Consider the following 13,477-nt stretch of genomic DNA (forward strand, 5'->3'; position numbering starts at 1 on the left):
ATGTAAACACTGTATTCAGACTGACATTTAAAACAAACTTTCAAAATAACTTTTAAACCACTACTTACCTATCGGGGAATATGCTAAACATCATGGGAAATACAAAATGCTTGGCACATAAGTACTCAAAAAATACTTGTTGAATGAATTTACTAAATAAATGTAGTGTAAGACTGCTGTTTTTAGCTGGAAAGACTGAACTAACTGCTTGATTTTCATGTATCTGAAGCACTTAACTTTGGCACTATGTTAAGTACGATAGAACTCAGAAAACATTTCCTAGTGTGGAGTTATTTAGTGAAAAGAATATCAGACTAGGCATCATCACACCTAGGTATTTACCCTGTCGTTATCACTGAAATAGTTTTACTCTGTGATATGTCATCTATCTAGATGAATTTACCTATAAAATGGAGTTCACATGTGAACCATATAAGATATATCAAGGATTGAGTAAGGTAATGGATATAAAAAGCTCTCTGTGAATAGTAAAGCACTACATAAAAGAGAGAGATGAAAGAAAGCTTTGTGGAGGAGATAAGAGGTGAATCTGGCTGTGAGAGGTATACAGATTTTTATATAACAAAAAGTAAGATTTTTCATGTTAGTGAAACATTAGGTGCAAAGGCAAATAGAAAAAGGAATATACATGATGTTATAGACTGAAGAGGTTCTTGAAACTAGAGGAAATTTTTAAGAATAAAAGCATATTAAAGCCAGGCATGATGGCTCACACCTGTAATCCAAATACTTTGGGAGGCCGAGATGGGTGGACTGCTTGGGCTCAGGAGTTTGAGACCAGACTGGGCAACAAGGCGAACCCCCATCTCTACAAAAAATACAAAAGTCAGACGGGTGTGGTGGCGCACGCCTGTAGTCCCAGCTACCAGGAGACTGAGGTGCGGTGATCACTTGAGCCCAGGAGGTCAAGGCTGCAGTCAGGGGAGATCGCGTCGCCACACTCCAGCCTGGACGACAGAGCAAGACCAGGTCTCAACAACAACAACAACAACAAAATTAAAGTATTAGCAAACAAGATTTTAGAGAAAAAGCTCCAGAAACTTCTCAAGTAAGCAGTATATTCAAGCTAGTAAAACAACACTACAAATGACTACTAATTGCACATATACTACATCAGAATCTATGATTAATCCCTATATCAACTGAGTAAGAATTATAATCATTTTGTAGACATAGAAATTGACTAATAGAGAACCTGCCACAATCACAGTATTGTAATTAACTAATAGAAGTAGAATCTGAACTAAAGTCTACCTAGTATAACTTCCTAGAGGCTAATGCCTAAAGATTTTAACTTCTAGTCAAAGCCTGAGGACTGGCTCCTGAAATAGATATATCCCTATATAAACATGCTGCGTGTGTGTGTGTGTGTGTGTGTGTGTGTGTGTGTACATATACATAATTTCTTTTTCTTTCTTTTTTTTTTTTAAGACAGAGTCTTGCTCTGTTGCCCATGATTGAGTGCAGTGGCACAATCACGGCTCACTGCAGCCTCAACCTCCTGGACTCAAGCAATCCTCCCACCTCGGTCTACCTCCTGAGTAGCTAGGACCACAGGTGTGCACCACCACACCCAGCTAACTTTTGTATTTTTTGTAGAGATGGGGGTTTGCCTTGTTGCCCAGACTGGTCTTGAACTCTTGAGCTCAAGTGATCAGCCCGCCTCAGCCTCCCAAAGTACTGGGATTACAGGCATGAGCCACTGCATCCAGCCAGATTAAATTTTCTACTGTTTTTTGAGATAGGGTCTTGCTCTATTGCCCAGGTTGGAGTACAGTGGTGTGATCTTGGCTCACTGCAGCCTTGACCTCCTGGGGTCAAGTGATCTTCCAGCCTCAGCCTCCTGAGTAGCTGGGACTACAGGCACAGACCACCATACCCAGCTATTTAAAATTTTTTTTTTATAGAGACAGGGTCTTACTATGTTGCCCAGGCTGGTCTCGAACTCCTGGCCTTAAGCAATCCTTTCATCTCAACCTTCCAAAGTGCTGTGATTACAGGCAGGAGCCACCACACCCAGCCCAGACTAAACTTTCAAAAGCAATACCTAAATACTGAAAATAAATGAAACAAATCAACCTAGATATGTATCAGTGGGTGATACAACCACACAGAACGGAAAGAACTTAAAACACAGTGTTCATCCCCAGAGGGAAACACCCTTGCAAAAAATATGTCTTAAAAAAATCTTAAATTACTTTCAGTAACTACATTGGTGGTAGTGTTGGTATTATCATTCTAAAGTTGTTGTATGTGTACCGTGAGATAAATGGTTATCTTGGAACTAACGTATGAATTGAAGGTCTATTTTATCTTAAAAGTAAAAATAAGCAAAAACAAAGAAAACAACTCCAACATTTTCTCTAGCATTGTACATTGAAAAGACCTAGAAACAATGAACAATTCAGTAGTAGCGAACACCTCCACCACCTAGATTGTTGTCTTGAAATACCATTTACCACTATAAAGAAGAAATGCCTAATTATAGGTCTAGAGCAGGAAATGGCACATCTTTACATACCAGCAAGCAAGGAATCAATCAAAGTCTACTAGGATCATGTTGAGAAGACTCAAGAGCCAACTTGATGAGGCTCTCACTGTATGGAACAATTTAAGCATTAAGGATAATAACTGCGATGGACCAAAATACATTACATATATTCAAATCCATGAGTTCAAAATGAATCTAAAGGGGAAAAAAGGAAAAATTAAGAACTAACTGGCCACTGTCAGAGATGCCAGTGAAGCAGCTCAATATTCTGAAAATTGGTAAATAAAAAGGAAAGAATCAAACATATATCCTGGCTTTCCTGTGTAAATGATACCACTGGGTAACCAAATAGTAAATAAGGGAAAGTTTCTCTTTCTAGAAACAGTCCAACCAATAAAGAAGAATGATAGAATTAGAATAGCATCCCTCTGCAACCCCTAATTGGGTATGAATCATCAATGACTGGTACCATCACAAAAAGACAACCAGATATTATGTGCATCCAAATAGAAGAATACAGTACTACACCTATGAGGTGGCTGTGTGTGTGCTGGAGTGGGGTGTTAACGCTGAATCTGAGAGCAAGCCTCTAGATGCTACAACCACCTTAACAATTTACAAAAAATACAATAAACAAAGGAATATGTTGAACACCACCACAGGAATGTAATCAGCAAAATCCAGGCCTTGGAAGCTCTATAGCAGCAACTGGCAAACTACATGAGATGCCTGTTTTTGCCAACCCTTGCTCTATGGGATAAGCAAGTTGCTTTTTTCAACAAATAAAATAGTAAGAGGAAAACAGATGGAAGGGAAAACCTCCTAAAACATTTCAATCAATCACAACATACAGATCTTACTGGTATCTGGATTTAAACAGCATATAATAGAGAAAAATCTACAGAAAATTGAACATTTGAATCCTAACTGTATGTTTCATAATATTAAAATTTTTATTTTAGGAGTGCTAATATAAAAAATAAGAGTTCTCTTTTAGAGATACATATTGAAAATTTTCAAGGGAAATATGTTTGGATTTGTTTCAAAATAATGCAGAAGGGAGAAAGTAAACAGAGGCATAGGGGAAAATAAGACTGGCCATTATTTGAAAACAGCTGAAGCGAGGTGATTGTTACACTATGCAGTATCCCTGAATGCACATAGTAATATACTCAGTAAGCATGTTTAGAAGCATTAGATCATAATGGAACCTAGATACATTTATGTTTCTAGATGTTCCACTAGACATTATTTAGAAAGAGGAAAAAGGTCATTTTAAAGAAAACTTCTCTAAAAATGTAACCTCATCTTTTGATACAATATGGCAAAATCTTGCTCCCTGATAAGAAATACATAACTGTTCTTCCTTCAGATATATTTCCATCTGTTTAAAAATTGTTCGTAATGAAGTTTATTATTTAAGTGGGGATCCTTAGCTATGATGCCTTCATGCAACTCACAAAGTGCAAAACTATAGGAGTAGTCCTTGACAGAAGCTAATATCTAGCTGCCAAATAATATAAAGACCTCGACTTCCCCTTTTTGCAAATCAGTAATCTAGAAAAGGTACTCTCTCAATTTGAGAGTTAATTTTTCTCATAGATTCTTTTTTTTTTTTTTTTTTTCAAGACAAGTCTCGGTCTGTTGCCTAGGCTGGAGTGTAGTGGCACAATCTCGGCTCACTGCAACCTCCACCTCCCAGGTTCAAGCCATTCTCCTGCCTCAGCCTCCTGAGCAGCTGGAACTACAGGTGTCCAACACTAGGCCTGGCTAATTTTTTGTATTTTTAGTAGAGACCAGGTTTCACCATATTGGCCAGGCTTGTCTCCAACTCCTGACCTTGTGATCTGCCTGCCTCGGCCTCCCAAAGTGCTGGGATGACAGGTGTGAGCCACCATGCCTGGCCCCTCATAGATTCTTTATCACTAGGAAATCAATGTACTTAGGGACAGGCCTACAGACTTTCACCATTCTAATATTTCCTTCCCGAATATTCCAAATGATCAGCAACATTTCTCCCAGAAATGCAATTTTTCTCCAAAATACAACTTCTCCTCCACTGTGACAGAGAGGCAATATATAGCCTCAGAAGCATTTGTGGCTCACTAGCATTTCAAAGGCAAGAGTGTTGCAGAAAAGAAAGCATGCTGAGACAATCAACTAAGTAGTCCACAAACACAAGCCCAAGTACTCTTCTAGGAAATACTACCCAGAGGAAATAACTGACCTCCTCATTATTTTTTCTGAATCTAGTAAACAAAGGAACCCATATCTCTATTTGAAAGTACACCATTTAAAGAGGACATAATCCTGTCCTACTTGGGTAACTGTGCTAATTCTAGAGCTAACACATACCAATGGGCGCTGACTCCCTTCACGGGGGATGCATGCATTTATCAGATGAAAACCAACTCAGATCAAAACCACCAAACCCTCTCTGGTTTTTATAAGATTAAAAATAAAAATAAAAAATTAAGGACACAAAAACAAAGGGTTCTTTAGTCACAGATATGAGAAAAAGACAATGGATAATTTTTATGTAGAAACTGATCTATAGATGTCTGCTTACAGCATCTGTAAGTCACTTTAAAATGTACACTATGTGTATCACATATAGCAGCAACACGTTGTTACACAGTGAAGTGCAGTCATTTTCAATACACACACACCCCAAGTAAATTTCTAGAAATTTTTAATCATTTTTAGACTATGCCTGTTGTAGGAGTGTTACATTAACAAAATTTCAAATAAAGCTTTGAAAAGGATATTAGTACTTTTAAATGACTTATTTTATATCAAGTGACAAGAAAAAAATCAAGAAGAATGTAGACTTCTCAAAAGACTAGTAACCAGAGTTAGGTTTTACAGAAAGGATGGACTTTTTTCTAAAACTCTGAAAATGACAGGAAACTCATAGTAACTCCAATTATTTTTCTGGCAACAAAAATTTCAGCTGCCAATAGTTTTTTTTTTTTTTTTTGAGACAGAGTCTCACTCTGTCGCCCAGGCTGGAGTGCAGTGGTGCAATCTCGGCTCACTGCAAGCTCCACCTCCTGCGTTCATGCCATTCTCCTGCCTCAGCCTCCTGAGTAGCTGTGATTACAGGTGCCCGCCACCACGCCTAGCTAATTTTTTGTATTTTCAGTAGAGACGGGGTTTCGCCATCTTAGCCAGGATGGTCTCGATCTCCTGACCTCGTGAACCGCCCGCCTCGGCCTCCCAAAGTGCTGGGATTACAGGCGTGAGCTACCTAGCGCGCCCGACCTTGCCAATAGTTTTAAGTACTTTGTGTACATCACGTAAATAACTCAGTATTAAATTTAAGACAGTTATATGAATTAAAGAATTATGAAGTCAAAATAAGATTCCTTTTCCAAGCCCGTCCACCCACAATATCGAATTCATAGGACTAAATGTAAACTTACTTGGGCTGTTAGAAAGGTATCATCTTCACCTTCTTGAGCTTCAATTTCCTAAGTAAAAGGGTATACAATAGCTTTGCTTTATAAAATATCGGGGTAACGTGAGAATGCTTTTATGCTTACACCTGATTATCATTTGCCTTGTGTTCTGTATAATATCTGCGATACCATGGGTACTAAATCAATGCTTAATATTCAGACTATATTTTTTATGCCAAAAAAAATTAGCCATGTCGCTAGAGAATTAGAAATATTTCTCTTGAGCCCCTCATTTATTAGGGTAGGTAGAAGGGAAGTGTTTTAAGCATGAATACTAACAGCACTGACTCCTTAACCCACTGACTTTCTTAAAATGTACTAACATACTTCAAGGCAGGACAAATGGTCTATTTCAAAGAAAATATTTGAAATATTATCTGCTTTAAAATTAAACTTTCATAAGTAATTCCCCACCCTTGATATAACCAAAGAAATGTAAATTAAAGTAACCTTTTATACTTGCTAAGGTAGCAGAAAGGGGAAAAAACCCTACCACCAAGTAATGTTGGCAATGCCAGAATGAAATTGGTACATTCATTCATCGTGGAGTAGGAAAAAAGCCTTAAAACTTAAAATGTCCAAAATTAAAGGAGTGTCTATTAGATATGTAGAAAGCAGTCTAATAAATTATGGGGAAATTATGAAATTATACGTCATGTGAAAATACAGAATAAATAGGAACTTACTCTATAACAACTATGTATAAATATATATTATATGAAATAAGCAAAAATTTAAAAGGTTGCCTAAGGTGGTAGGATTTTAGATGACTTATAAGTAGCTTTAGTAACACATCTTTTAAAAATTCTGAGACTTCCAAATTGAACTAGAAAAAAATACTTTTTATTATTTAAAACTTAATTTATCTGTGTCATGTTTTAAAAAAAACTGGCTAAAGACCTGACTTTCGATGTCCTCTTTTTCTATATCTTCTATTCCTTCTGCCTCTATTAATTCATGAGCTCTCTTGTTTTCTTCTGCAGAGAGTAACTCCTTGGAATGCACATTTTCTTCTTCATTTTCACCAAATTCTTCAGAGTCCTTTAGTTCATCATTTCCATCTTGCTCATGTGCCTCTTGATTCTCCAATTCACAGTCCTTTTAATGGTAAGAAAATTTGGTACAACTAGAGGCAAAGTAGTGTGGGCTATCCACCAAACGTTTTTGGTAATTTACACCTTTAAATGTGTCAAATTTGATCATATTTTAATATTCCCAAAGTTCATTCATTTTACCTTATATATTTACTGTGTCTTTAAAAATAGGTCTAATACCAAGATCATCAAACACGAATCTGAGTTCTCAAATTTCTCACACTAAAATGCACACTAATCAAATTGCTGCTAGAGATGCTCTAAATTCCAGTTATTTAATATTTACCAAGCCAGCTTCTAGAAGCTGTCCAAAAAATACGGCTTCATTTTTCCATGTGCCATATGTTGATTTAACTTCAAAGACTTCGGAAGTCTTATACATTAAAACAAAGTTTATTTCTAATAATAAAGAACTCCCAACTGCTGCATCAATGTCTGTTCTTGAAAAATATGCAAATAACTAATTGAAATGTATTTGTTTTGAAATCTACCACTGTGCCAAATGTCAATTAGGAAGAGGAACATAGGTTGGGATTGGATCTGTTTGTCCTTCAAAGTTTATGAATATATGGTACTTCAGTGAAAACAAAATCAGCAATCTGCTTAATTTCCTGATTAAATGAAGAGAAAAGGGGTGAAAGCAATAAACATTACTTCCTTTTTTCCTGTTCTTACGGTAAATCCAGCAGATTTAAGAAAAGGTTTCTGGGTTAAAAGGTGAAAGAGGCAGAGGCATGACTACTAATCATTCACAGCCAAACTGCAGTGAGGAAATGGAAATTTCTATCGAGAGGTGGGCATAGAGAATATGACTGTTTTGGAAGGTGGAGTCCTTGGGGAGCAGGGGATCTCTTGTTTGACCAAATGTACTACAGCATGAGTAGGGGAGCGTGAGGGGATGAAAATGGAGTACATGGCTGTATTATGGCAGAAGAATAGGTGCAAGAAAGATCAAGGGAAGTTACCAAGGAAACTTCACCTATTCTAAGGTGCCAACTTTGACCAATCTCCTCACTTATTTACAGAAGCAATTTCTATACTATTCTGGTATTTAGGCAATAGGTGATATTTACCAACCATTACTGTATAAATTCCAAAATTATCAACTGTGGGAGATGAGAAAATATATTCACTTAATTTCTATCAAATACATCACATATGTTGATACTTCCAAAAATAAACTGAAGATATCTTTACACAGAATTTTTAAAAAGCTCCTAGGGCTGGGCATGGTGGCTCACACCTGTATTCCTAGCATCTTAGGAGGCCGACGGGTGGATCATGAGGTCAGGAGTTCGAGGCCAGCCTGGCCAACATGGTGAAACCCCGTCTCTACTAAAATACGAAAATTAGCCGGGCCTGGTGCGGTAAGCCGGTAATCCCAGCTACTTGGGAGGCTGAGGCAGGAGACTCTCTTGAACCTGGGAGGTGGAGGTTGCAGCGAGCTGACATCGCACCACTGCACTCCAGCCTGGGCAACAGGGCGAGACTCCATCTCAAAAAACAAAAACAAAAACAAAAACAAAAACAAAAACAAAAAAAAAGTTCCCTTGTTCTTTTAGACATTATGACCAGGTTTATTTAATCATAACACAAAAGCATCCTTTGTGGCACATATAAGAGACAGTACTATTGTTCGTCTCAATAGACGTATATATCTCCTTAGGCCATTTCAAATGACTGTAACATTTTTATAAACTGAAGAGCTGAAAGAAACAAATTTGAAAAGTAAAAGATTTTTTACTGAGTCACAATGTTTTTACAGCTTATGGATAATCTTTGCTTAATCATACACTTACTGGTGAAGACAACTGGAGAAAATAGGAACAAAGGAACAAACCTGATGGAAGATATATAGTAAGGGTAACAGAATACCAAAACTTAAAGGCTCAAACACAAGCTGATTACAGGCATGCAATCATCAATTTTAACGGATCCCTGGGCAAACAGTTCCTAAAATTAACTGATTTCAGGGCTAACTCCTCAACAAAACATCTTTTGGGGGTGGGGTTGTGTCTGTGTGTGTGTGTGCAGCGTGGAGAGTGAAGAGAGCTAGGAGGCAGGAGAGATGGGTGGGTAAATGAACATGAGCTGACTCTATGGAAAACACAAACATCGAGAGACATGATGACAATATGGACTAGTTTTACCCAGAAAACAGAATATATGGGGACATAAATGTATATAATTCAAGAGGAACTATACTCATGAAATAATTCCTGCAAATACCACAATACTTAAGACCTAATAAGCAGTAGATCACTTTTCATTAAAATAAAAAAAAAATTAAAAAACCCTAACTACAATTAAAAATAGCTTGTTCTATAGCTGTAGTATATAGAACTGCCACAACCCCAATTAAAATTACATCCATAATTTTTCTGGCCAGCCAGTTTTGAAATACACTCATTTTCGGCCCCAAAAGGCCTAGCTTATTTATCTTTAAAGGGCAAAATAAATTTCTTAATTTGATCTCTCTCTCTCTCTTTTTTTTTTTTTTTGAGACGGAGTCTTGCTGTTACCCAGGCTGGAATGCACTGGCACAATTTCGGCTCACTGCACCCTCCACCTCCCGAGTTCAAGCGATTCTCCTGCCTCAGCCTCTCAAGTAGTTGGGATTACAGGCATGCGCCACCACACCTGGCTAATTTTTGTATTTTTAGTAGAGATGGGGTTTTACTATGTTGGCCAGGCTGGTCTCAAACTCCTGACCTCAAGTGATCCGCCCGCCTAGACCTCCCAAAGTGCTGGGATTACAGGCGTAAGCCACGGCGCCTGGCCCTTAATTTGATCTTTACCAAGTAGTAACACATCAGCAATTTTCTCTGTGTATTTTAAGGTCTACATTAATCTAAGTTCTGTATATTATATACAAAAGCTAAATGCAATGGCAGATAAAAAACAAATTACCAATATCCTTCCCTGTGATATCTCATCCAGGAACTAACATGTATATCAATTGTCTCGTAGCTATTCCCCTGGCCAGCTTTCTACCTAAAGGCCTGGAGAGATTATTAATTTTAGCTTTTGTATCTCATTTAACTAAAGAAAAAGTTATTTACTATATTTCTCAATTATGAGAGTTAATGAGATTGACAATATTAAACGTTGTCAATATTACATAGGTCTTTATCTTTAACCTACATACTTCAGTGACCATTGTTCAACAAAAAGCACAAAATTCATGATGCAAAATACTAGGCTTAAAATAAGCATCTTAACCTGAGTAATTAACACTTTACCTTGATAAAAGCATCATCTTCCACAGAAGCATCTCCACTCAACTCATCTGCTTCATGTTTTTTACCTGCGAAAGAAGGAAAATGGGCTAACAACCAATATTTTATTACTTTAAGAACAAAAAATATTCAGAGTTTACCCTGCAATAGCACTCTCCACTCCCAAACTATCTGACAAAGCTAATGTCAACTGCTTCTAAACCACCTGCTCAGAGCTGTCCCAAACAAAAAAAGCTTTCCTATGTCATGCTGCTTCATTGAAATACACCGTGCACAGAATCCTACATATGAACCCATCAGCTTAACTGACTTGACATATATGGTGCATTTTTCTTTACACCAGTTGAATTTTCTATCCTCAGTTATCTGAGAAGCTGTGATACCTTTCAATGGCATTCTACTAACTATATATATAGACACCTGATAGCTAAGTACAAGATCTGTACCTCCCACAAAGCCTTTCCTATGTTCTTCTCTTCAACAAGCATTCTCTGAAATAAAAATCCTCACACTTTAATCTTCATCTTACAATCCATCAGGTGGTTGATTACATATTGCCTTGTACTCTGTCTCTAGTACACCTTGCCTCTTCATAGAGAAGAAATTCTTTAAATACAGTGACTACTTTTATGCTAATTATTTATTTCTCCAAAAGCCTAAATATAAAGAGTGCTGGCCACTTAACATAATAACTGATTTAAGGCATGCAGAAATTACTGCAGAGTGAAAACTGTTAATAGCTTTCCGACAAACTACAGACCTTCTTTGCCCATCTTCAAAACTTTGCAACCTGGTAGTTAGAAATTTTTTTTAAGAATATTTATTTATTTATTCTTGAGACAGAGTCGCACTCTGTCGCCCAGGCTGGAATGCAGTGGCGCAATCTCGGCTCACTGTAACTTCCCCCTCCTGGGTTCAAGAGATTCTCCTACCTCAGCCTCCCAAGTAGCTGGAATTACAGGCACGAGGCACCATGCCTGGCTAATTTTTGTATTTTTAGTAGAGACAGATGGAGTTTCACCACGTTGGCCAGGCTGGTTTCGAACTCCTGACCTCAAGTGATCTGCCCGCCTTAGCCTCCCAAAGTGCTAGGATTACAGGCACTGAGCCATTGCGCCCAGCTGGTAGTTGGAACTTTAAAATAATTTTCCACATTAAAAAAAAAAAAAAGTTTTCCACAGAGGCAATGCTAAAACATTATTATGTTTTCAGGCTAGTCCACAAAATCCTACTTAAAAATCCTTAATGTACTAGAAATGCCATAAAAAAAAGACATCTGCTGGAAGTTTATTAAAAAAAATTTTTTTTTTCATTTCTTTTGAAACATGAATGGATGTTCTTTCCTAAGACCAACGAATGAACTTTTTTCCCTTTGCCTACAACTGGCACAGACAGTGCTACTACCTAGTTCAAGCTTCAGTAATCAGGGTAGAGGTTTAGCCGTTGGAATAAATATTTTAAAGGTTAGTAAACCTGCATTTCCCTAGTCTCCTCGGTAGCTCCTATCTGTCATCTACTCCCAATTCTAAGTCATTTCCGCAAATGAGTGATAAAAGGGGAAAAGATATGCTAGTCCTTCCAAGTATGTAAAAAACAAGATTAGGAGTGGGGATTTTTCTTTTACTCAATTAGTAGCTGAAGGCTTGTGAGAACCAAACAAGAAATGAAGTGTGGCGCTTGGTGTTGTGTTAACTTTCTATTTACAATGTTGACGTTTGCATTTTGGGGAAAACATAACTTTTTGGTTTAACTTTTTGGTTTACTATTCCCTTTGTAGATTAATGCTTTGCATATAATTTTATAATTACTGTCATCATTCTCTTTATCACTAAACTTAATTTGTACATGAGAATTTCACATAACAACAAGTCTATCTGATTATGTTGCCCTAAAATCTAAAATTAGAAGTTACTAAAAGGGCAATCACTAAGAAAGAAAAAAAACTAAAGATGTCCTTTTCCTGAAAAAGAAAACTACTAAATTCTTTTTTTTTTTTTCCTGAGACAAGAGTCTTGCTCTGTCGCCCAGGGTGGAAGGCAGTGGCGCAATCTCGGCTCACTGCAACCTCTGCCTCCCGAGTTCAAGCGATTCTCCTGCCTCAGCCTCCTGTAGTAGGACTACAGGCGCGTGCTACCATACATGGCTAATGTTTTGTATTTTTAGTAGAGACGGGGTTTCACCGTGTTAGCCAGGATGGTCTCGATCCCCTGACCTTAGGTGATCCACCCACCTCGGCCTCCCAAAGTGTTGGGATAACAGGCGTGAGCCACCACGCCCAGATAATTAAATTCTTCTATTACATTTAGAGAAAGTTCCATAATACAAAAACCTTAAAGAGGCTACTTTTTGGGAGAAAAATGCTTTTTTAAAATATCAAATCCTGCTGGAAGCGGTGGCTACTGCCTGTAATCCCAGCATTTTGGGAGGCTGGAGGGGGAGAATCGCTTGAGCCCATGAGTTGAGACCAGCCCAGGCAACACAGTGAGATCCCTATCTCTTCAAAAAAAAATTTTTTAAACACAGCTGGGTGTCGCGGTGTATGCCGGTAGTCCCAGCTATTCGGGAGGCTGAGGTGGGAGGACTGCTTGAACCCAGGAGGTGGGAGAACTGCTTGAACCCAGGAGGGCAAGGCTGCAGTGAGCTGTAATTATACCAACCACTGCACTCCAGCCTGGGCAACAGAGCGAGACCCTACCTCAGAAGCAAAATAAACCAAAACATCAAATCCTCTCCCATACACACTCACCACCAAATAGCCTATAGAGCAGAACTTTTGGGGGAATTCCTGTAGATCATTTATAAATGCTATTTATTCCTTATAATCACAAACTGCCTTATAATTTGCAAAGCACTTAAAAAAAATTTCAGTTGATTTGTCCAAGCACCCTATGATGGTACATAGGTCCATTATCACAATTTTACAAAAGAGAAAATGAGCCTGAGAGGTTAAATACCTTGCCTAAAACTTGAAAATGGTGCTGTCAGAACTGAAGCCAGGATTTCGTGACCAATCTTGTCCTGCCACTATATCTTATTATGACCTGTATAAAACACATTATTCTAATAAGGAGTGGTGAATTAATTCAACTTAATTATCTTTGAGGCCGGGCGCAGTGCCTCATGCCTGTAAACCCAGCAATTTGGGAGGCCAAGGAGGGCAGATTGCTTGAA

General features: G+C 37.9%; 1 protein-coding gene across 25 annotated transcripts in view; it reads right to left on the bottom strand.

Annotated features, from left to right (window-relative positions):
* The window catches only part of SLTM (SAFB like transcription modulator), a 54,630-nt gene that overhangs the window by 27,576 nt on the left and 13,577 nt on the right, over positions 1-13,477 (bottom strand). For 9 of the 25 annotated variants that reach the window (NR_135043.2, XM_047433051.1, XM_017022576.2 and 6 more), the window contains 3 exons: positions 10,310-10,374; positions 6,874-7,071; positions 5,938-5,985 (listed from right to left, as the gene is read on the bottom strand). Coding sequence is in view for 20 of the 25 variants with exons in the window: in XM_017022576.2 (XP_016878065.1) it covers positions 5,938-5,985; positions 6,874-7,071; positions 10,310-10,374 (311 nt within the window). In the remaining 5 variants the exon portion in view is untranslated. Of the gene's footprint in view, positions 1-5,937; positions 5,986-6,873; positions 7,072-10,309; positions 10,396-13,477 lie in introns of all 25 variants that reach the window. The other 16 variants (XM_047433044.1, XM_011522023.2, XM_011522024.2 and 13 more) reach the window with 4 other exon arrangements.

The sequence above is a fragment of the Homo sapiens genome, chromosome 15, assembly GCF_000001405.40.
Source record: "Homo sapiens chromosome 15, GRCh38.p14 Primary Assembly".
NCBI lineage: Eukaryota > Metazoa > Chordata > Mammalia > Primates > Hominidae > Homo > Homo sapiens.